Source organism: Homo sapiens, chromosome 8 (genome assembly GCF_000001405.40).
Source record: "Homo sapiens chromosome 8, GRCh38.p14 Primary Assembly".
Taxonomy (NCBI): domain Eukaryota; kingdom Metazoa; phylum Chordata; class Mammalia; order Primates; family Hominidae; genus Homo; species Homo sapiens.
This window is the reverse complement of record NC_000008.11, coordinates 39,806,486-39,832,991: the sequence shown is the minus strand read 5'-3', so window position 1 is coordinate 39,832,991 and position 26,506 is coordinate 39,806,486. Positions and strand designations below refer to the sequence as shown.

The following is a 26,506-nucleotide window of genomic DNA, read 5'->3' as shown; positions in this document are numbered from 1 at the left end:
TAAAGTATGATTAGACATATAAGAATATCTGAATTAAAATGTAAGCATAACAGTAGATTTCTTAAGCTTTTTTCTATTAGAAAAAATGTATAGAATATACAGTACAATTTATGGTGATGTAATGGATGAATCACATACTATATACCTTACATACATATAATGTGGTTATTTTCTTGCACACAAGCGGTGAAAAGGTACTTAAGAAAAAAAATCACATACTAAAATAAAAAAATCTTTTGAATAGTAACCATATCCTCAGTGACTAGCACAATAAAATTAGAATGTAATTACAAAGCCTTCATCAGAGAATCACCAGATATTTGTAAATTCAAGAGCAGTTGCCAAAAAACTCTTGGCTCAAAAACATTCAAAACGTTATTGTAAAATATCAATAAAGTAGTAAGAAATAGAATATTACAAATCAAACATTTTAGAAATGAATAACCAAATGTATAATAAAGTAAAATTCAAAGCTTTCATTGTTTTTACATTTTACCTGCATCAGATGAGAATAAAGTGTATAATATTATGGGATGGGACAGCATAAAGTGTTGTTGGGTAGTCCACACTGGTGGAGTACTGAAGCCTTTAGTGGCTATTGTTATTGGTCTATGTCAAGCCCTGTCAGTCCCTACCCAGGCTATCTTGGTAACTAGTTAGTTTCAGGCATGGCCAACAGTTTATAGACACTCAGGGTGATAACGATATTTACTTTCAAAAGACAACGAGGCCTGGACTGTATGCAGAGCTAGCACCAAACTGTGCATTTTCCTGGCAACATGACCATTTCTGAGGGCTTTCAAATATACAAAATAAGGACACCAGGAACCAATTTTATGACATTGCACAAGGTGTCCTTGAGAAACCTGAGAAGAGATCCAGATTAGTAGGATATTTAGAGTAACACCAAGCCAATGAGTACTTCTGATATCTTTTAAGATGCTGTAGTTTGTCTATGACATGGTAGTCATTGATTTCTTTTTGTTTATATCTCTAAGGACTCTGAATTTTCAATTTGAGAATTAACATCCTTGCATGAATCATGGAGATTCTTATCAATTTTTAAGTTTAATTGTTGCTTTTTCTCACTCTGCTAACCTTTCCTGGGATGCTTTTAAATGTATATTTAAAATTGGGGCCTCTTAATATAAATTTTAGTGAATCAAGTTAGCAATTTTTGACTCACTTATCTATCACATATTTCTATGTACTCATTCACATTTCCTGTTATTCCTGATTTCGTGCTTTATTCTCGATGATTTCCATTTTACTCTTTATGTATGTCTAATCTACTCTTCAAGAATATTTTTCAATGACTATATTTTTCATGGTTAGGATTTCTGTACAAAGTGACACATTTGTGCTTTGTAAATCTTTTATGGCTTTTTATCTCTGTTTTTTATCTGTTTCAACGTTAAAACCTCTTTATTCTTAAGTTTCATAATTTACTTGATTATTGCTATTTTTCTACATGATTTCTCCCAATTTTCAAGCTTTGGACTTTTCCATATGTTTGGAACTATCATTGATGAGCTCGTTTGAGTGAACTTTATCTTCCACCATCCTCTAATCTTTTTTGTGTTGTGGAGGCCTCTCTTCAGGGGTGGTTTTATGGATGCTTTTGCTTGTTTCCTGCCATGACAATTAGCTGGGTCAAAAGTTTACACTTTATCAGCTCAGGGTTCCATAATAATAGGGCTGCTTGGAATCCATTTCACATCTGCCTGAGATATAGTTTAGAGTTTTCATTTCTGCATGTGATGCTATTTCTGCCTCAGTCAGTATTGGGTAGCATCCTTTTGTCCAGGGTCTCTGTACAGCAGGTGTCTTAGTCTGTTTGGGCTGCTGTAACAAAATATTAATACCATAGACTGGGTAGCTTACAAATAACAGAGATTTATTTCTTATAGTTCTAGAGGCTGGGAAGTCCAAGATTGAGGCACTGGCAGATTCAGTGCCTGGTGAAGGCTCATTTCCTGGTTCTTAAATGGCTCCTTCATGCTGTGCCCTCATACAGTAGAAGGAGCAGGTCAACTCTCTGAGATCTCTTTCATAAGGACACTAATCCCATTCATAAGGGTTCCAGCCTTGTGGCCTGATCATCTCTCTAAAGTATCACCTCCTAAAACCATCACATTGGTGATTAGATTTCAAAATATAAATTCTGGGATGAAACAAACACTGACATGACAGAAGCAGGTATTGATTTTTTTTTTCGTTTCTATTAGCAACTTGCAGAGGAAATTTCTAGCTCTATTCCTTTCATTTAAATGCTCACATCAATGTGTTCTGATGCTTGCGACTATTGTCGTAAATAATGTGTTCTCATGCTAATGACCAGAGGACATTAAACCACCTATTCTTAAGGTATGATTCTGATCCAGAATCCATCTTACTTTCCACAGCTTCACCTGCTCACTCTTTCAGCTGTGGTACCAGCCTTTGTTTCTATTGCTTTGATCATTCCAATTAACCCTATAATACAATCAAATCAGGAAATTTTTTGGCAAAGGGGAGACAGTAAATATTTTAGACTCCAAGCTCTATATACTCTCTTGCAACTACTTGCTGTTGTAAAAGCAGCCATAAACAGTATGCAAATGATGGGTGTGGTTATTTTGCAATACCACTTCATTTTCAAAAACAATCTATCAGCTGGATTTGACCTATGGGCCAGTTTATTACCCCATTATTTATAGTGTAGTCCTGTATTTGAAAATTATTGTTCATCTGTCATTTCAATATCAAGAGTGGTGATGGAAACTGGGAAATAGGTCTCCTTTCTGTCACAAAAATCACTGTCAATTATCTTTAAAATTTTTAAATGTTCATTGCATAATAAAATTGGCATACATTAAAATATAAAATATGTTTATGCAGTTAAATAAGTGTCGTGAAGTGAATATTTATGTAACTCTCTGACTTTACACATATATTGACTGCACTCAAGAAGTTGTGCTGTTTTTCATTTGCTATAATAGCCCCTCAGTCCGTCTCACTACTTGTCTGGATTGTTGTGATATCCATTTCTCTGATTTTATTTAGAATTTATTATCCTAGCTAATGTGGTTTCTTTTTGTCTGTTTTCTAACTCTAAATAAATGAATTATGATGATTTTTCTAGTTTTAGTCACTCAAATTAATGTTTGTGAGGTTTTTTCAATGTTGTCGCAAGTAATTCCAAGCTATTCATTTTTATTACTGTATAGCATCCAATTTCATGATTATACAACAATTTATTTCATCTTATTTTGAACATTTTGTTTCTGTCTAGTTTGGTTATGTTAAAATGTATATTATTTTGGGCCTATGCACAAGATTTTATAGGACATATGACTAACAGCATACTGATGGGTTAAGTTACATGCACTTTCATAATTACATTTCCTCCAAAGTAGTATACTAATTTACACACTCCTCTGAATTATATATTCTATTAATAGTGGTAGATGTTTTAAGTTTTAAATGCTTATAATTATATACTTATGTCCTACTGTGATTTGATATGTATTTCTCTAACTGTAAGTAACTTCTCTAACTGTAAGTAATTTAATATGTATTTCTCCAACTGTAAATAATTTCTCTAACTTTTTAAATACAGCAGTTAGCCATATGGAATTTCTCCCCTGTGAAGTGCCTGTTTAAGACATTTGTTCTTTGTCAAAAGATATTTCTAATCTGACCTTTTCTCTCCTTGTGTTTTCACACTTATGGTATTTGGTAAAGATAATTCTTCCATTATGGTAAGTTATATTTGTATCTTGTATAAGAAATCCTTTCTTACTCAAAGGCCATGACTAAATCTTATATAATCCTCTAAAATATTTTTAGTTTTACCTTTCCCATTCAGGTCTTTGTTGAAACAGAAATTGGCTTTTGAATATGCTATAAGGTAGACAACCAATTTAGTTTTTCTGTATGATTTTTCAAATGTTTCAGTAGCTTTATTGAATCTTCTATCTTTCTGTACATGTCTTCTGTGTGATGATGGTTATATATTATACATTTATATATGGTTTTATCTGTTTCCAAGCTCTTGATTAAACTTTTTGGTCTATTTGTCTATTTATGATAAATCTTGATAGCCTAAAGATAAAGCCTTTTCACCTTTTTCCTCATCATAGATGTTTTGGCAATTATTTTTCTTTCAAATTAGCATCCAGTGGACCCAGCACAATTTAAAAATGATATTTCTTCACTGCACTGTAATGTAATCTTTTTTAATAAATTAAATGACTGTATATAAAGAAGTCTCTGGATTCTTTGTTCTCTTCTCTTTGTTTAAATGCTCATTCTTAGACCCTGTCTAATTTATCTGTCCAAATGTCATAGTTTTAATTACTATGACTTTATAATAGGTGTTTATAACCAGACTTGTCCTTTAGTTTTAAGGTGTGCTTACTCTTCTTGATTGTTTAAATTTTCACATGATTTTGGAAACATTATTTTTTCTGTTTTATCTTTTGTTTTATATTCCTCTTTTTTCTTCATTGCCTCTATCCGATTGAATCTACTAATTTATATTATACATTATTCCTCAATTAAATTATTTGTTATACATTCTTTTACTCTTCTTTTAGTAGTTTCTCTACGTTAACATATCAACTCTTGAGTAATTGAATCTATTACAAATTAGTCCTCCTACCAATTACCATATGTTTTTAGATCCTTAAATCTCTAACACCCTTTACCCTCTGCTTCCCATTCATTATTTTTTTTCACACATCACAAACCTGTATATTTTTAAATCCCCATGAAGTATTACTATTTTTTATAAAGTCAGTATTCATTTTAATTTAACCAAAATTTACCAATTCTGGTGATCTTTAGTTCTCCCTACATTTCTGTGCTTCTATCTGAAGCTAATTTTGATATATCTCAGAAATTCTTAATATATTTCTATTATAAGACTGCTTGTTTTAAATTATATGTGTTTTTATTTGTCATTAAATCTTTATTTAATCATAGTCTTCCCCTTCCAGCTATATAAAGGTCTAATTAACAGAAAAAATTATATATAAACAGTTCGCAACATATTTTTAGATATGTATACATTGTGAAATGACTAAGCTAATTAACATATTCATCAATTCAAATACTTACCTTTTTTGAGGTTGAGAATACTTGAGATCTAATCCCTTAGCAATTTTCAAGTATAAAACATTACTAACTACAGTCAACTTGTTGTACAAAAGCTCTCCAGAGCTTATTCCTTCTAAATGAAACTTTCTTCTCTTTAACCATCATCTCCCATTTTCCCACTCTCAGCCCCTAAAAACCATCATTCTACTCTCTGCTTCTATGAGTTTGAATTTTTTAGACTCTCCATATAAATGAGATCAGGCAATATTTTTCTTTCTAAACTTGGCTTATTTTGCTTTACATAATGCCCTCCAGATTCATCCAGCCTGTAGCAAATGAAAGAATTTCTTTTGTTTTTATGACTGCCTAGTATTCCATTGTGCATATATACTGCATTTTCTTTATCCATTTGTCCATTGATGGAAACTTAAGCTTGATTCCGTATCTTGACTACTGCAATAAACCTGGGAGATGTTTATTACAGATATCTCTTCAACATACTAATTTTATTTGCTTTGGATATATGCCCAGTAAAGGGACGGCTGAATCATACAGTAGTTCTATTTTTAACATTTTGAGAAACCTCCTTATTATTTTCCATAATGGTTGTACTAATTTACATTTCCACCAACATTGTGGAAGTGTTCCCCTTTCTCCATGTCCTTGCCAACACTTGTTCTCCTCTGTCTTTTTGATAATAGCCAATCAAACAGGAGTAAGGTGTTATCCCATGGTGGTTTTGATATACTTTTTTCTGATGATTAGTGAGAATGAGAAGTTTTTCATATACCTCTTGGCCATATGTATGTCTTCTTTTGAGAAAGTCTATTTAGGTATTTTGCTCATTTTCAATTTTTTTTTTCTGAGTTGTTTGTATTCCTATACATTTTGGATTTTGACCCCTTATTAGATGTATAGTTGGCAAATCTTTTCTCCCATTCTTTAGGTTGTCTCTTTGTGGTGGTGTTTCCTTTGCTGTACAGAAGCTTCTAAATTTTGTGTACTCCCATTTGTCTAGTTTTTGTCTAGTTTTGGTTTTGTTACCTGTGCTTTTGTAGTCATATCCAAAAAATCATCACCCAGACCAATGTCAAGCATTTCCTCTATGCTTTCTTCTAGTAGTTTTAGCATCATAACTATTATGGTTAAGTTTTAATCCATTTTGAGTTTTTTTTGGTTTTTTTGTTTTTTTTTTTTCTCGCTCTGTAGCCAAGGCTGGAGTGCAGTGGCGCTGTCTCGGCTCACTGCAAGCTCTGCCTCCTGGGTTCACACCATTCTCCTGCCTCAGCCTCCCAAGTAGCTGGGACTACAGGCGCCCACCACCATGCCTGGCTAATTTTTTGTATTTTTAGTAGAGTCGGGGTTTCACCATTTTAGCCAGGATGGTCTCAATCTCCCGACCTCGTGATCTACCCGCCTCGGCTTTCCAAAGTGCTGGGATTACAGGCGTGAGCCACTGCTCCTGGCCTTGAGTGCTTTTTTAATATGGTGTGTGAAACGATGCAATTTTGTTTTTCTGCATGTGGGTGTCCAGTTTTCTCTATGTGATTTCATTGAAGGGACTGTCCTTTCCCCATTGTGTCTTCTTGACAATTTTGTCAAACACCAACTGACTGTAAATGCGTTGTTTTATTTCTCTTATATCTATATTGTTCCATTGGTCTATATATCTATTTTTATACCAGTACTATGCTCTTTTGGTTACTATGGCTATACAGTATAGTTTGAAGTCAAGTAGTATGATGCCTCTAGCTGTGTTCATTTTGGTCAAGCTCGTTTTGGCTATTTAGACAAATTTAATGAAGGAGGTAAAAGATCTGTACATTGAAAACTATAAAACATTCTTAAAAGAAATGAAGGAAAACAGCAAATAAATAGAAAGATAAAGCATGTTCATGAACTGGAAAAATAAATATTGCTAAAATGTCCATAGTACCCAAAGCAATCTACAGATTCAGTGCAAACCCTCTCAAAATTCTAATGACATTTTTCACAGAAATGTAAATAAAAAACAATGCTAAAATTCATATGAAACAACTTAACTATATTCTTATAAATTTTTGCTGGAATAAATTCTAAGATGTCTTTGAAAAAGATGTCGTTTGCCTTTTAAATCATCATTCCATTGTTTTCTGACTTTTTTTTCCTTTTCTATTGATGAAGTAGCTGTATTATTTGTTAATTGGTTTATTAAGAATTATTCGTTTCTTCAAAAGTAACATCCTTTTTTCTTGAAACTTTAAAGATCTTTAAAGTTCATCTGGGCTTTTGTTAGTCTTTTTTTTTCTTTTGATGATATATTTATATCTGACTTTTATTTCCCTTTATCCTACTTGATTTACATAAAGCTTTTTGATACTGTGTCATCAATTTTGAAACAAAAATGCTCTGATCTTCTGAGATTAGCTTAACTTTTTATGTAACTTTGGCAAACAATACTAATGCTTGGGGTGCATTAGTATTAGTAACAACATAGATGCAAATCTCTAAGTTTATATTATCATCAAATGAGATGAATAATTATATAATAAATAAATAGAGTAGAAAGAATGTGAGAAGGTAATATATGCTTGGGCAAAAACTATAGAGCAAATTTAGAGTATGGTTTAAAAATCCTATGCTTTGGTGATTGAACAAGTTGACATTTTAAATAAAATTTTCAAGATAAACCTCAGTGGGAAGTTGATGTATAAGCAAAGACTTAAAGTAGATGGAGAACAATGAACTATGTTGAAGAACTTTCCAGGAATGGCCAACAAAATGGTACAAATATCGTGAGGTCCAAGCTTGCCTGTTGTGTTTGGAAAACAGCTAGGAGGACAGAGTAACAATAGAGTGAGTGAAGTGTAAGATGTTTGAGTAAAATTTAGAACAAAATCCATATATTTAGAAAATATCCCTCTGTTTCTCTTGCTCTTTCTGTGTCAACCTACCTGTCTATAATTAATAAAATAAATGTTTCAAAACAAAAGGTTAAGAATCAAATTTTTCCATTTTATCTTTATGTTACAGAAACTTTTTACCCCATAATTTTAGAGTTTACAGTTATAGTGGCACAGGAATTATGAAACCACTTGACCAAGATTTTCAGGTATGTTTTTTATGATCTCTTTTATTTTTGTCATGTGAGTGTCTATGATCACCTTATTTAGTGTCCACATGTTATTAGAGTCTAAAGTGTTGGGTCATGGCTTCTTGGCATAAGTTTAATGTTTTCCTGTTAATGATGTATACTGATGTACTGAGTTAGCCCTATTAAACAGATGATTAACTAAAAAGACATGATTGTAGTGTTTCTAAACTATTTAGACACATGCTAAGGGCTTATGTACCTGAGGTGATAGGGACTAAATATGTTGTGAAATATGTAAAATGAAAAACCATGACTTGTATCAGGAAAGCTAAATCTGAGGAGAAAATAAGAATCTAATCTTCTTTGAAGTATGTTCAAGGACCAAATAAGTACACATGAAGTTTCACACACGTTTAGGAGTATATTAAATTTTCATCTATTTGGAACATGTAGAGCTTAATTTAATGTTGTCTATAATTTTTTTAAAAAATAATAAAGAAGAGTGAATAAAATTGCCAGGATTAGTCATGCCTGAAGTGTTCTTTTTTTTTTTTTTTTTTTTGAGATAGAGTTTCACTCAGGCTGGAGTGCAATGGCGCGATCTCAGCTCACCGCAACCTCCGCCTCCTGGGTTCAAGTGATTCTCCTGCCTCAGCCTCCCAAGTAGCTGGGATTACAGGCATGTGTCACCATGCCCGGCTAATTTTGTATTTTTAGTAGAGACAGGGTTTCTCCATGTTGGTCAGGCTGGTGTCGAACTCCCGACCTCAGGTGATCCACCTGCCTTGGCCTCCCAAAGTGCTGGGATTACAGCAGTGAGTCACTACTCCTGGCCTCTGTTCTTTTGTTTTTTAACCTCAGCCCTGCTCTACTAATTGCTGTTGTGTTTTCCATTTGTTGTTCTTGATTTCTATATAGCGACTCAATCAAGTGTTTTGAAAGTAAAGCATTTTTAGAGAGGCTAGGATTTCAACAGAAGAAGTAATAGATATGGTTAGTTGCTTTAAGTTTTGCCCAAGAGAGTACACAACTCTATGAGTCAGTTATAGAGTAGTCTATATAAATATATAACTAATATACTGTTACATAGTGTTATACACACACATACATATGTGTGTGTGCGTATGTGTGTTTGTATTTGCATGCATGAGAGAGAGGACAGAAGATAGAGTGAGAATCCAAGACAGAGGCACAGGAGATCACAATATCTCACACCTGTATTTTGTATCATTCTTCCATACATAACTCTGCTTCCTACCTCCCAAGAGGTAACCATGAAAGATAAATGTACAGTTAAAAAAAAAAAACAAGCAAGAATGCTACAAAGCATTCAAAGCATCAACAATCTGAATGTGGTAAGTAGTTGCAAGTTGATCTCAAATGTAGTAAAAACATGCTGCCTTGAAAATAAATTGTGTTTGCCAAGGTTGCAGGCCTACCTCTATCCTAGGAAAAAGCTCATTAAATTCAGTTGGGAACAGGTGTATTTATTGGATTATTTATTTATCTTAAGTCCACACATGATTCCCATTCCTAAAGTCATATTATCTTGATAAATAAAGACTTATCTACAAAAGAAAAAAAATCAGCCAGCTAAACCAGGAAAGAGTTTGTTCCCTGCATCCAGAGTAGGACAAGTGTAAGCCATTCATCATTGTCCTGGATTTTGTGATCTCTCCAGGACAAACAGATAGTCATCATAATTAAAAGGTAAAATTACCAGGATGCTTAAACAATCTAAAATGTATGTGCACATAAAAACAGACCTCAGGCCGGGTGTGGTGGCTCACACCGGTAATCCCAGAACTTTGGGAGGCCAACGCGGGCAGATCATGAGGTCAAGAGATGGAGACCATCCTGACCAAAATGGTGAAACCCCGTCTGTACTAAAAATACAAAAATTAGCTGGGCATGGCAGCATGTGCCTGTAGTCCCAGCTACTCAGGAGGCTGAGGCAGGAGAATCACTGGAACCCAGGTGGAGGAGATTGCAGTGAGCCGAGATCACGCCACTGCACACCAGCCTGGCGACAGAGCAAGACTCCATCATAAAAAGCAAAAAACAAAAAACAAAACAAAACAAAAAAAAAACAGACCTCAAATCCTCAAATTATGGAAGGCATAATTGACGGAAATGAAAGAAACAGACAAATAATACTTATATTTGAAGATTTAAACACTTCTCTTCTAATAATAAAGTAGAAAGAAACTTTGTAAACTTCTAAATGAAGTAGAAAGAAATTCAGCAAATATATCAAGTGTATACACATACTTTTCAAGTGCAAATGTAATATTGAACAAGAAGATATTATAGTGAAGGCAAACAATGCAAAACTGACTGATAAAAATAAAAGATAAAAATAAACTGCGAAAGGATATTGGGTAATAAGTGAAGCTTTTTGATTCTTCCATGAAAATTTTATCCTATGTGACTTAAAAATGACTTATTCTTTCATTTCTAAGTTTCTCAATGTCATCCTGTGTTTAAGGTTGATGTAACTTCCTGATACTCCACAGAATTAGAAATGTTATCAATCTGGATATTATAAACCACATCTGGAAGGAAGAAGATAAAAGCTGTGGAATGTTCAAGATATTTTTACCTTCATTATATAAAGTATGAAGTATACCCCAATTGGTGATAAAAATAAAAGCACAAATATTTTCACATAAATTTCTAAATAAGATGGAAATAGAAATACAGTGTATTGAGTCCATGAAGTATGGTATTTGGAAAGTGGTACAAACTAAGATTTTAGGTATCACAGTAGAAAGATGAACTATAAAGCAAAAGTAAATACAAAATCCAGGTGAAATTTGCAAATGAAAACATTTTGATGGAATTAAAAATTAACTTTGCTTATCTACCATGCAACATTGTCAGAAAAGTATGAAAAATATAAGTTTTGATGATGTTTACCTCATTCTTAACAACTGAGAATGTCATGCTTAATTTAAAACCTATAGAAATATGAAAATATACTCATTTTTTATAAATCTGTGGGGAGTACTTTGGAAAACCAAGCCATATGCTCATCTAATAACATTATAAATCCATTTTTGAAACATGAGTGTTTGATGCATAAAAACAAAACACATATATGTTTTACATATTTGAAAATTGTATCTGTAACACAAACCATTCTAATGGAGATATGTGTATTTTATCTTTCAGAATTTCTGCCACTACCAAGGGTATATTGAAGGTTATCCAAAATCTGTGGTGATGGTTAGCACATGTACTGGACTCAGGTTGTAATTTACTGTTTTATGAATTACAAAATAAAATATTTACTTCAAAATTATTTTAAACATTTTAACATAATATTCAGTGGTTCTAAAGTGTGGCATGACTATTGTGGAAAACTGCCACTCACAAAGCATGGTATGGAAATACTTATGATGGCTCCTGCCCTTATGCAGGATTATGATTTTTTAAATATATTTGGAAGCCATGAAATATTAATAGCTAGGCAAATGCTAACAGCATTACTATGCGGTGTCACTCAGTAAGTTTGTGGATACCCAGTAACTTTCTCCTATTTTATCACCTTAGATTCAGGCTAAAAATAATCTGCATACCATGAAAAAATAATGCTAAGTGGCATTTTATTGGCTTTTCCACAAGGCATTGTTTTACTTATTAATTTTTTTTTGAAATTTTTAGGGGCGTACTACAGTTTGAAAATGTTAGTTATGGAATAGAACCCCTGGAGTCTTCAGTTGGCTTTGAACATGTAATTTACCAAGTAAAACATAAGAAAGCAGATGTTTCCTTATATAATGAGAAGGATATTGAATCAAGAGATCTGTCCTTTAAATTACAAAGCGTAGAGGTAGGTGATTAATTGAACAAACTCTATGGTTATTACTATACAGCAATGTAAGCACTGAAATTTATAGTTGATAAATTACATATTTACACACCCATAAACACCAAAACATATAGCCACATGTATGGATACATGTACCAGAAACTTCATAACTTATATCATTAAGCCTTAAAACTAGTTTTGTAATTTTCCAGAACTCCAATCATGACATTTTCAACTGTTAGTGGCATCTTTTTCTGTAATCTAGACCTTTATTGTCAGCAGATGTACTCCTTTCCCCATAGCCATTATGTTAAAATTCTGGTGTAACAAACACAAATGCCATCCACATAAAAAATGGAGATACATATCTAGGGTCCTGAGGAGAGTCACCCCTATCTTGTAAGGGAACTGCCTCAGGGGAGGTCATTATATTTTCCTCAGGGGATTCAGGGTTATTTAATATCCTCAGAAAGTGAGAGAGAGGTTGCTTCTATTAGCAAACAAGATTCACCAGCATTTAGGAGTTTTATAGCCCCAGCTTCATTAGGGTTCTTCTCTAGGTTCCCATTCCAATTTTCAGGATCCCACTGCTTCCCACTCAATGCTTTCTCTTTGACGGCAGTACCATGGGAGGTTAGGAATTCAGTTTGCACTGTAATTCATCCACTGACAGGATAAGATTCTGGGTTTGGTTTTCAGTAATCTCAGCTCTGTGGCTATGGGATATAAAAATTTATTTCAAGACACACAAAGAAGCTTTTGGATAATTTATGCATCACTTGAGATGGTAATTCAAATACTTTGGCTTATTCTCTTCTTTCTCCACTTTGTCCAGCAACATTAGGAGCAGCCAATCTCATTATATTTGCTAGTTTGACAAAAATGTTCAAAAGTATCATATACATGGTCACCAAGACCCTTGCCTTCATAAGTCTTTGATCAGAAGTATTCAGTGGTAATATTTTGCCTGTCTTTGTTGCTACATCATGCCATGAACTATCTTCTCTCTATAGAATTGTCTTTAAATCTAGTCAAAGTAGAAGGCAAATTCCCAAAACCCCAGCACCAATTCAGAAGATGTCCGCTTAAGATTCTCTTTTCTTGGCACCTCATTCCTGGTACCCACATCTATATCAGGGTTCTCCAGAGAATAGAAAACCAATAGGAGATATATATGTGTGTGTTTGTGTACATACACAGAGAGGGAGAGTACATACAGAGAGAGGGAGAGAGAGATTTTATAGAATTGACTCAGATGATTGTGAAGGCTTGGTAAATCCAAAATCTACAGGGTAAGCAGGCAGGCTGGTTATCCAAGGAAGATTTGCAGTTTAAGACCAACATAGTCTGCTGGCAGAATTCCCTTTTGTTTAGAAAATACTCTGTTTTCTAAAAACGGCTTTAACTGATTGGATGAAGTTCACCCACATAATGAAGAGTAATGTGCTTTACTAGAGCTTTACCAACTTAAATGTTAATTTTGTCTAAAAGGCACCTTCACAGAGGCATCCAGGCTAATGTTTGACCTAATATCTGGGCACAGTGGCCCAGCCAAGTTTACAGGTAAAATTAATCATCACACCAATATCACATCATTTATTCTTATGTTTCTTCTAAATGTTTTATTCTTTAATCTCATTTTGATATATGATACTTTAATATTTTTTATTGGATGAGGTAGAAATTCAAATTTTTTTATATCAATATCCAGCTGTCCTCACACCATTTGTTGAAGAGATTATTTTTTCCTCATTGAGCATTCTTGATTTTTTTCAAAGATCAGTTGACAATAAATGTTAAGTATTATTACCAGACTTAAAATTATAGTCCATTAATCTTTATGTCTACTCTAATGCCACTACCACGTTTTCTTTACTACTGTATTTTTGTAGTAAGATTTGGAATTGGTAAGTGTACATCCTTCAATATTCTTATTTTCCAAGATTATTTTGGTTATTCTGGCTACTATGCATTTCCAAACGTATTTTAAAATTTATTTATTTTTAATTTCCAAAAAATGGCACCCAGGATTGTGTTGAATCTGTAGATAAACCTGAGGAATACTGCTATATTAACAATATTAACTCTGTCCATGAGCAGTAGGTAGCTTTTAGTTTTTAGATATTCTTTAATTTATTTCTGCAATGTTTTATATATTTAAGCCTAAGTCTTCAGTAAAGCTTCTTTTGTTATTTATAGAAGTGTTATTACTTTAGATGTTATTTAAATTTTATATCAGTTTGGATTTCTCATTATTAGTATTTGGTAATTAGTGAATTTTCCATATTGGTTTTGTATTCTGTGAACTTGACAAACTTGTTTATTAGTTCTCTATTGAACTCCACGACTTTTTATGTACATGGTCATGCCATCTTGAATAAAGATAGTTTATCTTGTTTCTTTCCAACTAGGATATCTCAAATTTCCTTTTTCTTACTTAATTGTCCTGATTACTACTTCCATTATAATGTTGAATAGAATAGGTGAAAAAGAGATGTTCTCATCTTTTCCCAATCTTAGGGAGAAAAGATTCAGTCTGTCACCCTTAAGCATGTTATTTGTAATTTTTTCACAGGTGCCCTTTATCAGGTTAAAGAAGGTTTCATCCAGTGTTAGTTTGTTAATGATTTTTGTTTTGTCATTAAGGGTTGTTGGATTTTGTCAGATATTTTTGTTCTGCAACGTATGTTGAGATAATAATTTCATTTTTATCGTTATTTTGTTAATGTGGTGTATTGCATTAATTGACTTTTGATTATTAAACTAACCTTGTATCCAGTCTCTCTTTGTTATAGTGCATAATTCTTTTTATGTATTGCTGGGTTCAGTTTGCTGGCATAATTTTGAAGATTTTTTTCATTTATATTTATAAAGAATATTGCTGTGCAGACTTGTTTTCATATGATATTTTTCTCTGTCTTTGGTATCAGGGTGTTACAAACTTCACGAAATGAGTTGGGAAGTGTTGTCTCCTCTATTCTGGAAGACTTTGTGGAGGATTGATTTAATTATTTCAACATCTGTAAAATCCATCTGGGATTGGACATTTTTAGGGAAGGATTTTTATTAGTAATTAAATTTTTTCTCATTAAGTCTATTATAATTTTCTAATTTCTTTTGGAGTCAATTTAGGTAGTTTGTGTGTCTATAGAGGTTTTTCTATTTTATCTATTTATTTCTTGTCATATTGTTGTTTGTAGGACTCCCTTATAGGTCTTTAAATATCGGTACGATTTTTAGTAATCTTCTTTTTCATTTCTGATTTTATTAATTTAAATATTTTCTTTTTTGTGTGGTCAGAGTAGCTAATAATATTTTAATTAAAGTGTATCTCTTTTAAAGCACATATTACTAAGTTTTTAAACGTTTTAAATCACATATGACAATTTTATGTTTAACTGACAGATAATAATCACACTTATGGGATACAAATGATATTTTGATACTTGAATAAAATGTGTAATGATCAAATCAGGGTAATTAGCTTATTTATTACCTTAAACATTTATCATTTGTTTATGTTGGGAACATTCAAAATTGCCTCTTTAAGCTACTTGAAAACATACAATAAATTATTGTTAACTATAGTCACCCTATGGTGCTATAGAACACTAGAACTTACTCCTTCTATCTAGCTGTACTTTTGTAACCAATAGCCAACCTTTCCCCATCCGTTCCTCCCCTGACCCTTCCTATCCTCTCATGACCACGATGTCACTCTCTACTTCTATGAGCTCAACTTTTCTAGTTGCCAAGGTTATTTATTGCATCTACTTTTAATGCACACACTTACATAATTTAGATTTAATCTACCACTTTGTCATTTCTTATTTGTCTTATATGTTCCTTATTCCTTTATTCTTTCTTCTTTTATATCTAATCTATTTATTTTTTTCAAGGATTTAATCATGATGTTACATCTTTTTTATTAATCAAGTATTTTTATTTTTCTCCTCTAATGAGCTTTTACATTATATATTGTTTCATATATTTTGCTCTTATATAGTCTGTGAATACAAAACAATTTTTACAACATAATAATTTTAGTGGCTAGTCTAATTAGGAGTTGACAAACTATGGCCCTCAGGCCAAATCTGGCCCACAGGCTGTTTGTATAAATAACATCTATTACTGCTATTCTATATATTGTTTATGTATACTTTCATATTATGGTGGCAAACTTGAATAGTTGTGACAGAGACTCTATGCCCTACAAAGAAACTTTATAACCATGGCAGTCATTCTTCATTCCCCTGTCTTCCCGGGAAACTACAAATCTATTGTCATAGATATAGACTTGCCTTTTCAAGATATTTTATATAACTGGAATCTTACAATATCTTTTGTGACTTCTTTCACTTATAAGGTGGTCAAAGCTCATCAGTACCTCTTTTATATTTATGGCTGAATAACATGTGCCTGGGTATAAATATACCACTCGTGGTCATATAGTCATAAGCTGATGAACAAATTGGTTGTTTCTACTTTTTAAATATTATAATATTGCTAGGAACATTAATATATGTTTTATGTGGATATATGTTTTTATTTCTCTAGGTAATTACTAAGATTTGAACTGCTAGGTCATACGCAGACTCTGTGTTTCACCTTTTGAGTGGCTGCCAGATTATTTGTCCAATGTGGCTGACAATTTTATATCTCCTGAAACAACATCTGTGGGTTCCAATTCCTCCACATTTATTTATTTGTTGTTTTTTATTTTTTGAGATGTAGTTTCACTCTTGTTGCCCAGGCTGGAGTGCAATGGCGTGATCTCTGCTCACTGCAACCTCCACCTCCCGGGTTCAAGTGATTCTCCTGCCTCAGCCTCCCGAGTAGCTGGTATTAGAGGTGCACACCACCACGCTCGGCTAATTTTTTGCATTTTTAGTTGAGATGGGGTTTCACCATGTTGGCCAGGCTGGTCTTGAACTCCTGACCTCAGGTGATTCACCCACCTCAGCCTCCCAAACTGCTGGGATTACAGATGTGAGCCACCGTGCCTGACCTCCTCCACATTTTTTTTTCAACATTTATTACCAGTCATTTTGATTATAGCCATCCTATTATGTGTGAACTGATATCTAATTGTGGTGGAACTATTTAAAACTTTAAAAGTTCTACTTTGTGCTATCATTATATGTTTTTATTTTTATACATATTATACACTTCATAGGACTACTACTGTTATTACTCACATTATTGTTTTAAATAATTCATATCTTTTCTCATTCTGTTCATTCCCTCATGCTGTTTTATGCTGTCCTCACTTTTGGAAATAAAAATTATTATCATTTAAATATTCTTTCTGCTGTATTTAAAAGGTCATAAAGTTATTCATTTGTTTTGGTTAAAAATTTCATGTAATTCCCTGCCCCATTTCCCAAAATACCAAGAAGCTTCTACCAGGAAGTGCTTGCCAAGTTGATTATTAAGTTCACTTACAAAACATGAATAAATAAGCATATTCAAAGAAACATCTGAAAATGTAGAGCAATGGGGAAATCACAGTTCTCAACCATCTGTATTCCTATTCTATCTCATTTTATTTGCTAGCCTCATTTTATCCTCCACCTACTTCCAACATAAAAATTTAATTCCTAAATTTGAGTATCTATTATTTTCTCTCACTTGAGTTCCATCCTTATAATTCTAAACAGAAAGATCCTATAACCTTATTCCATTAATCATTTTATTATGTGTAATATTTTGAATTATCATCTACAGTTCCTTCATTATACGAACATAATCATATCTCCTTAATACTAAAAATAGATTTAAAAATAAATGAAATAAAATAGAATCTATTATATACCTAGCACTTTCCATTTCTTCACATACCAGCTTTATATTAGAATAAGTGGAACTATCCATCCTGACAGCTCATTAACTATTCATTTCACAAAAATGCAGTTTCTGTCTCCACAAATAATCAGTGGTGATCCATTGTTAAATTGGCTTTTTGAAATATTGAGATACATTTTTAAAGAGTGAAAGTAAAAATTCCCTAGAACTTTCTAGTCATCTTATTTTCTGCAATAATGCTGTCTCTTGCTTCTCATTCTTTCTTACTTTTTCTGACTTTTCCTTATACATTCACATTTTAAATATTGATATTTGCTCTGTTATATCTCATGTTTGAGCTTGTTATCATCACATATAATATATATATTACATATATATCATATATATATATAGTTCTATGGCTTTACCTACTGTAACCTACAGATATTCAGTCCCAGTCCAAATTTTCTCCTGAGTTGATAATTCAATACAGGACATGTTGGTTGTTCGATTGAAACACACACACATGGACACCCGCACCCACACACCCCATATCTATCTATCTGTCTATTTATTGATGGATAAATCAATCACCTACATTTTTCTTCCAACTTCCTGAATATTCTTAACCAAGGACCTTTGACGTTTTTAAATCTGAATATTTCATTCATACATATTGCAAATGGATCAGTGTAATACTGTGAGTTCTCTGATATTTCTGACTAGATCCAATTCCTTAGTCTTTATTTGGCCAAGGCAACCTTTGTCCTAAATTTGGAGTCCTCTTTCAACATCATGTATGTAAGCACTTTTGTCTCCTTTTAGGGCTACTTTGTCTTAATAAAATGGCTTGGCTATTGTGGATTTTTTTTTTTTTTCTGAGACAGAGTCTCACTCTGTCACCCAGACTGGAGTGCAGTGGTGTGATCTTGGCTCACTGCAACCTCTGCCTCCCAGTTTCAAGCGATTCTCCTGCCTCAGCCTCCTGACTAGCTGTGATTACAGGTGTGAGCCACAATGCCCAGCTAATTTTTTGTATTTTTAGTAGAGACAGGGTTTTGCCATGTTGGCCAGGCTGGTCTCGAACTCTTGGCCTCAAGTGATCCACCCACCTCGGCCTCCCAAAGTGCTGGGATTACAGGTGTGAGCCACCACGCCTGGCCTGTGGATTTTTAAAATTGGCATCTGACCACCTTTTCAACACACACAGCTCCTGGCATTCTCTCATGCATCTGTGTAGTTTTCTTTTCTTTTTTTTTTCTGCCCACCTTTTCAACACACACATTTATTTACATATATTTATTTTATTTATTTATTTTTTATTATACTTTAAGTTCTAGGGTACATGTGCACAACGTGCAGCTTTCTTCCATATGTATACACGTGCCATGTTGGTGTGCTGCACCCATTAACTCGTCATTTACATTAGGTGTATCTCCTAATGTTATCCCTCCCCGCCCGCAACCCCACAACAGGCCCTGGTGTGTGAAGTTCCCCAGCTTGTGTCCAAGTGTTCTAATTGTTTAATTCCCACTTCTGAGTGAGAACATGTGGTGTTTGACTTTCTGTCCTTGTGATAGTTTGCTCAGAATGATGGTTTCCAGCTTCATCCATGTCCCTACAAAGGACATGAACTCATCCTTTTTTATGGCTACATAGTATTCCATGGTGTGTATGTGCCACATTTTCTTTATCCAGTCTGTCATTGATGGACATTTGGGTTGGTTCCAAGTCTTTGCTATCGTGAATAGTGCTCCAATAAACATACGTGTGCATGTGTCCTTATAGCAGCATGATTTATAATCCTTTGGGTATATACCCAGTAATGGGATGGCTGGGTCAAATGGTATTTCTAGTTCTAGATCCTTGAGGAATTGCCACACTGTCTTCCACAAGTGTTGAACTAGTTTATAGTCCCACCAACAGTGTAAAAATGTTCCTATTTCTCCACATCCTCTCCAGCACCTGTTGTTTCCTGATTTTTTAATGATCACCATTCTAACTGGTGTGAGATGGTATCTCATTGTAGTTTTGACTTGCATTTCTCTGATGGCCAGTGATGATGAGCATTTTTTCATCTGTCTGTTGGCTGCATAAACGTCTTCTTTTGAGAAGTGTCTGTTCATATCCTTCACCCACTTTTTGATGGGGTTGTTTGATTTTTTCTTGTAAATTTGTTTAAGTTCTTTGTAGATTCTGGATATTAACCCTTTGTCAGATGGTTAGATTGTAAAACTTTTCTCCCATTCTATAGGTTGCCTCTTCACTCTGATGGTAGTCTCTTTTGCTGTGCAAAAGCGCTTTAGTTTAATTAGGTCCCATTTGACAATTTTGGCTTTTGTTGCCATTGCTTTTGGTGTTTTAGTCCTGAAGTCCTTGCCCATGCCTATGTCCTGAATGGTATTGCCTAGGTTTTCTTCTAGGGTTTTCATGGTTTTAGGTCTAACATTTAAGTCTTTAATCCATCTTGAATTAATTTTTGTATAAGGTAAGGAAGGGATCCAGTTTCAGCTTTCTACATATGGCTAGCCAGTTTTCCCAGCACCATTTATTAAATAGGGAAAAACCATTTCTTGTTTTTGTCAGGTTTGTCAAAGATCAGATGGTTGTAGATGTGCGGTACTATTTCTGAGGGCTCTGATCTGTTCCATTGGTCTATATCTCTGTTTTGGTACCAGTACCATGCTGTTTTGGTTACTGTGGCCTTGTAGTATAGTTTGAAGTCAGGTAGTGTGATGCCTCCAGCTTTGTTCTTTTGGCTTAGGATTGTCTTGGCTATGCGGGCTCATTTTTGGTTCCATATGAACTTTAAAGTAGTTTTTTCCAATTCTGTGAAGAAAGTCATTAGTAGCTTGATGGGGATGGCATTGAATCCATAAATTACCTTCAGCAGTATGGTCATTTTCACAATATTGATTCTTCCTATCCATGAGCATGGAATGTTCTTCCATTTGTTTGTGTCCTCTTTTATTTCGTTGAGCAGTGGTTTGTAGTTCTCCTTGAAGAGGTCCTTCACATCCCTGGTAAGTTGGATTCCTAGGTATTTTATTCTCTTTGAAGCAATTGTGAATGGGAGTTTACTCATGATTTGGCTCTCTGTTTGTCTGTTATTGTATAGGAATGCTTGTGATTTTTGCACATTGATTTTGTATCCTGAGACTTTGCTGAAGTTGCTTATCAGCTTAAGGAGATTTTAGGCTGAGATGATGGGGTTTTCTAAATATACAATCATGTCATCTGCAAACAGGGACAATTTAACTTCCCCTCTTCCTAATTGAATATGCTTTATTTCTTTCTCTTGCCTGATTGCCCTGGCCAGAACTTCCAACACTATGTTGAATAGGAGTGGTGAGAGAGGACATCCCTGTCTTGTGCCAGTTTTCAAAGGGAATGCTTCCAGTTTTTGCCCATTCAGTATGACATTGGCTGTGGGTTTGTCATAAATAGCTCTTATTATTTTGAGATACGTCCCATCAATACCTAGTTTATTGAGAGTTTTTAGCCTGAAGCGCTGTTGAATTTTGTCGAAGGCCTTTTCTGCATCTGTTGAGATAATCATGTGGTTTTTGTCTTTGGTTCTGTTTATATGCTGGATTACGTTTATTGATTTGAATATGTTGAACCAGCCCTGCATCCCAGGGATGAAGCCAGCTTGATCGTGGTGGATAAGCTTTTTGATGTGCTGCTGGATTCGGTTTGCCAGTATTTTATTGAGGATTTTTGCATTGATGTTCCTCAGGAATATTGGTCTAAAATTTACTTTTTTTGTTGTGTCTGCCCCAGGCTTTGGTATCAGGATGATGCTGGCCTCATAAAATGAGTTAGGGAGGATTCCCTCTTTTTCTATTGATTGGAATAGTTTCAGAAGGAATGGTACCAGCTCCTCTTTGTACCTCTGGTAGAATTCAGCTGTGAATCCATCTGGTCCTGGACTTATTTTGGTTAATTATTGCCTCAATTTCAGAGCCTGTTATTGGTCTATTCAGGGATTCAACTTCTTCTTGGTTTAGTCTTGGGAGGATGTATGTGTCCAGGAATTTATCCATTTCTTCTAGATTTTCTAGTTTATTTTCATAGAGGTGTTTATAGTATTCTCTGATGGTAGCTTGTATTTCTGTGGGATTGGTGGTGATATCCCCTTTATCATTTTTTATTGTGTCTTTTTGATTCTTCTCTCTTTTCTTCTTTATTAGTCTTGCTAGTGGTCTATCAATTTTGGTGATCTTTTCAAAAAACCAGCTCCTGGATTCATTGATTTTTTTGAAGGGTTTTTTTTTGGTCTCTATCTCCTTCAGTTCTGCTCTGATCTTAGTTATTTCTTGCCTTCTGCTAGGTTTTGAATGTGTTTGCTCTTGCTTCTCTAGTTCTTTTAATGGTGATGTTAGGGTGTCAATTTTAGATCTTTCCTGCTTTCTCTTGTGGGCATTTAGTGCTATAAATTTCCCTCTACACACTGCTTTAAATGTGTCCCAGAGATTCTGGTATGTTGTGTCTTTGTTCTCATCGGTTTCAAAGAACATCTTTATTTCTGCCTTCATTTCGTTATGTACCCAGTAGTCATTCAGGAGCAGGTTGTTCAGTTTCCATGTAGTTGAGTGGTTTTGAGTGAGTTTCTTAATCCTGAGTTCTAATTTGATTGCACTGTGGTCTGAGAGAGAGTTTGTTATAATTTCTGTTCTTTTACATTTGCTGAGGAGTGCCTCACTTCCAACTATGTGGTCAATTTTGGAATAAGTGCGATGTGGTGCTGAGAAGAATGTATATTCTGTTGATTTGGGGTGGAGAGTTCTGTAGATGTCTATTAGGTCCACTTGGTGCAGAGCTGAGTTCAAGTCCTGGATATCCTTGTTAACGTTCTGTCTCTTTGATCTGTCTAATGTTGACAGTGGGGTGTTAAAGTCGCCCATTATTATTGTGTGGGAGTCTAAGTCTCTTTGTAGTCTCTAAGGACTTGCTTTATGAATCTGGGTGCTCCTGTATTTGGCTCATATATATTTAGGATAGTTAGCTCTTCTTGTTGAATTGATCACTTTACCATTATGTAATGGCCTTCTTTGTCTCTTTTGATCTTTGTTGGTTTAAAGTCTGTTTTATCAGAGACTAGGTTTACAACCCCTGCTTTTTTTTTGTTTTCCATTTGCTTGGTAGGTCTTCCTACATCCCTTTATTTTGAGCTTATGTTTGTCTCTGCACATGAGATGGGTCTCCTGAATACAGCACACTGATGGGTCTTGACTCTTTATCCAATTTTTCCAGTCTGTGTCTTTTAATTGGAGCATTTAGCCCATTTGCATTTAAGGTTAATATTGTTATGTGTGAATTTGATCCTGTCATTATGATGTTAGCTGGTTATTTTGCTCGTTAATTGATGCAGTTTCTTCCTAGCATTGATGGTCTTTACAATTTGGCATGTTTTTGCAGTGGCTGGTACCGGTTTTTCCTTTCCATGTTTAGTGCTTCCTTCAGGAGCTCTTGTAAGGCAGGCCTGGTAAAAGAGAGAATAATATGAATAGCTTGGAACCAATGAAAATATGGAGAATGGAAGATAGAGGGAAGTTGTTTCCCAAGTAAATTAAATAATTGATTAGGTACAGAAAAGTGACAAATAGATGAAAATGATTTTATGATATCTAGTGTTGCTTATATTATCTGGTTTTATTTCTATATGCAAAATTGTGTTTTTCAATATTTAGTTCATTAATAGTAGTGACATGCACTAAAAATACTTAAGTAATTCTGTAATTTTGATGTAAAATTTGTGGATTTTTTCAGCCACAGCAAGATTTTGCAAAGTATATAGAAATGCATGTTATAGTTGAAAAACAATTGGTAAGTATATTCTGATTTATTTATGTCCCTTAATATTTGCAATGAGGGATTGTAATAATAATTTGGAATATATTTTTAACAGAAAAGAATTGATAATTTTGCCTTAGCTCTGCATTAATGCACTTTAAATTATTAATATCAGTAGTAAATTGAGAATCAAATTTTATATAGTGTTTAATTTTATAAATAGCAACATAAAGAAAATAATTGCTACCTCTATAATAGTTTACAAATAGTTTTAGAATTATTATAGAAACTTGTATGTATTCTAGAACTATACTGAATTTTAAAAATAATGCTTGACATTTTGGATATTATTTAAAAAGAAATAAAAGTTTCCCATCTGTACATTTTTTTTGTAGACAGGAAAATAATGGCTTATACTGGGGATGAAAGGTGGTGATTAAGTATTTTAATGATAAATATTGTAAACTTGGGTAAAATAAGTGATCAATATGTTTATTTTTCTTTATGTATTTATTTATTTATTTTTTGTGATGGAGTCTCACTCTGTCCCACAGGCTGGAGTGCAATGGCATGATCTCGGCTCACTGCAAACTCCGCTTCATGGGTTCAAGTGATTCTCCTGCCTTAGCCTCACAAGTAACTGGGACTACAGGCACACACCACCATGCCCAGCTAATTTTTGTATTTTTAGTAGAGACGGGGTTTCACCACATTGGCCAGGATGGTCTCGATCTCTTTACCTCGTGATCCACCTGCCTCGGCCTCCCAAAGTGCTGGGACCACATGCGTGAGCCACTGTGCCTGGCCAACTTTTTCCTTATGTTTTAAAAAATATTTAGCAATTCTGTGTCCTTTGAATTTCCATTTAAGACCACCTTATCCATTTCTGCAAAAAGGATGATTATATTTTGATAGAGACTGTGTTAATTCTATAGATCAATTTGGGAAGGATATTTTTTCACAATTTGGAATATTCTAATCCATGATCATCATATATCCACCCCATTATTTAGATCTTCTTTGATTTCTCTCAGCAATATTTGGTAGTTTTTCAGTATATGAGTCCTTTGCTTTTTGTTAAATCTATTCCTATTTCCTAATCTTGTTTCTAATATGATTACTTCTCATATTTTCATTTTGATTGTTCATTTGGTAGTGTAAAAAAAGTTAATTGATCTCGTATCTTGTGATTTTTGCAAAAAATGTTTATTACTTGTAATTGTGTGTGTGTGTGTGTGTGTGTGTGTGTGTGTATTCCTTAGGACTTTCTGCATACAGGATCATTTTGTGATAAAACATAACTTTGTTTTAGCCTTTCCAATGTGAAGCCTTTTTATTTATTTTCTTGCAATATTGTCTTTGCTAGAACCTCCAGGACAATGATTAAGTGTAAGTTGAGAGAAGACTTGTGTTGTAGTTTCAATGTTTGTGGGAAAGCCATAGATTCACCATTTAATGTGCTAATAAATTAAATATTAGCTGCTGTGTTGTTGTCATTGTTACTGTTTTTATCAGGAGTAGGTGTTGAGTTTTGTGAAATGTACATTCTGTTTCTGTTCAGATGACTATGGGAATTTTTGGTCATTATATCAGTTAAGTGTCTTACAGTAATTTAAAGTTCCAGTTGATCATGATGCATAATCATTTTTATATATTTCTGGCTTCAGCTTGCTAACAGTTTTCTTAGGTTTTCTTTGTATATATAGTGTAGTATATTTATTCTGGATGTTGGAAATCTGAGACCTGGGTAGCAGCATGGTTACATTCTGGTGAGGGCTGTCTTCCTAGCCTACAGATGGCCACCAAAAAGCAAACTCTCTAGTATCTCTTCCCATAAGGGCACTAATCTCATCTTGAGGGGCCCACCCCTATGACCTCATTGAAACCTTATGATATCCCAAAGATACCATTTCCAAATACTGTTACAATGGGGCTCAGGGCTCCAAAATATGAAATTTTGGAGAGAGATAATTTACTCCATAGAACTCCAGCCCTCACTTCCCCATATTCGTGTCCTTCTCCCAGACAAAATGTGTTCATTCCATCCTAACAGCTCCAACTCTAACATTTAAAGTCCAAAGTCTCATCTAAATATCATCTCAATCTGTCGTGGGTGAGTCAGGATGTACAATTCATACTGAGGCAAAATTCCCCTCCAGCTATGAAACCTGATAAGTAGAACTTTGTGTTCCACAGGGAAAAATAGGAAGGAAGCAAAGGGCCATGGTTTCCAAGCAAGTCCGAAAGTCTAGCAAGACAAATTTACTTAGATTGTAAGCCTCAAGAATAATGCTGTTTGGCTTGATGCCCCTTTTCCAGGTCTACTGGGAGGGCAGTGTCACTTCCATGGGTGGGGTCGCTGGGTGGTCCTGCCAGCAAGGCTACAGGCAAAGGCCATCCAAACTGTGGAAATTAAGGCAGTGGCTCCGATCATCTCTGAATCACCTTCAGGGTATCTTTTCCTCTTCTCTATTATTAGCGCTCATTTTCAGCTCATTTCACCTGTATCGTTCCATCCTGTCAAATCTAAGAAGTCTGGCAGCCCTCCTTCATTGTGTCCTGTCTCTATCCCTTTCAGTTAAAACAGGCAGTGTTTTCACTCATATAATCCTATAAAGTTTTTGTCAAATGATTGTGCAGCCATTTCCTTAGGGTTCTCCTTAGAACAATCTTTGCAACAAAGATAGGCAGGAAATCTCCAAATCTTCAACTTTTGGTTCTGCTTTGCTTTACAGTTTCTCTATCATTTTGCATTTCAGGGTAAGCAGTCAGGAGGCACAATGCCACTCAATGCTCTAACATTTTGCTTGGAAATCTTCTCAATTAAATATTCTATTTTGTCACTCACAAGTTTTACCTCTAATAAAACACTAGAACATAGTTTACATTACCTGCATTTTATATATATTTATATATAATATGTTTATAATAATATTACAAATAATATAATATTTATA

The 26,506-nt window shown here is 34.2% G+C and overlaps 1 protein-coding gene across 6 annotated transcripts in view; it reads left to right on the top strand.

The window, feature by feature from the left end:
• Nucleotides 1-26,506, top strand: part of ADAM2 (ADAM metallopeptidase domain 2) — a 94,493-nt gene that overhangs the window by 5,236 nt on the left and 62,751 nt on the right. For 3 of the 6 annotated variants that reach the window (NM_001278114.2, XM_005273468.1, NM_001464.5), the window contains exons 4-7: nucleotides 8,095-8,173; nucleotides 11,330-11,406; nucleotides 11,822-11,990; nucleotides 23,526-23,582. In NM_001278114.2, the coding sequence (NP_001265043.1) occupies nucleotides 8,095-8,173; nucleotides 11,330-11,406; nucleotides 11,822-11,990; nucleotides 23,526-23,582 (382 nt within the window). The remainder of the gene's footprint in view (nucleotides 1-8,094; nucleotides 8,174-11,329; nucleotides 11,407-11,821; nucleotides 11,991-23,525; nucleotides 23,583-26,506) is intronic. The other 3 variants (NM_001437784.1, XM_011544479.1, NM_001278113.2) reach the window with 1 other exon arrangement.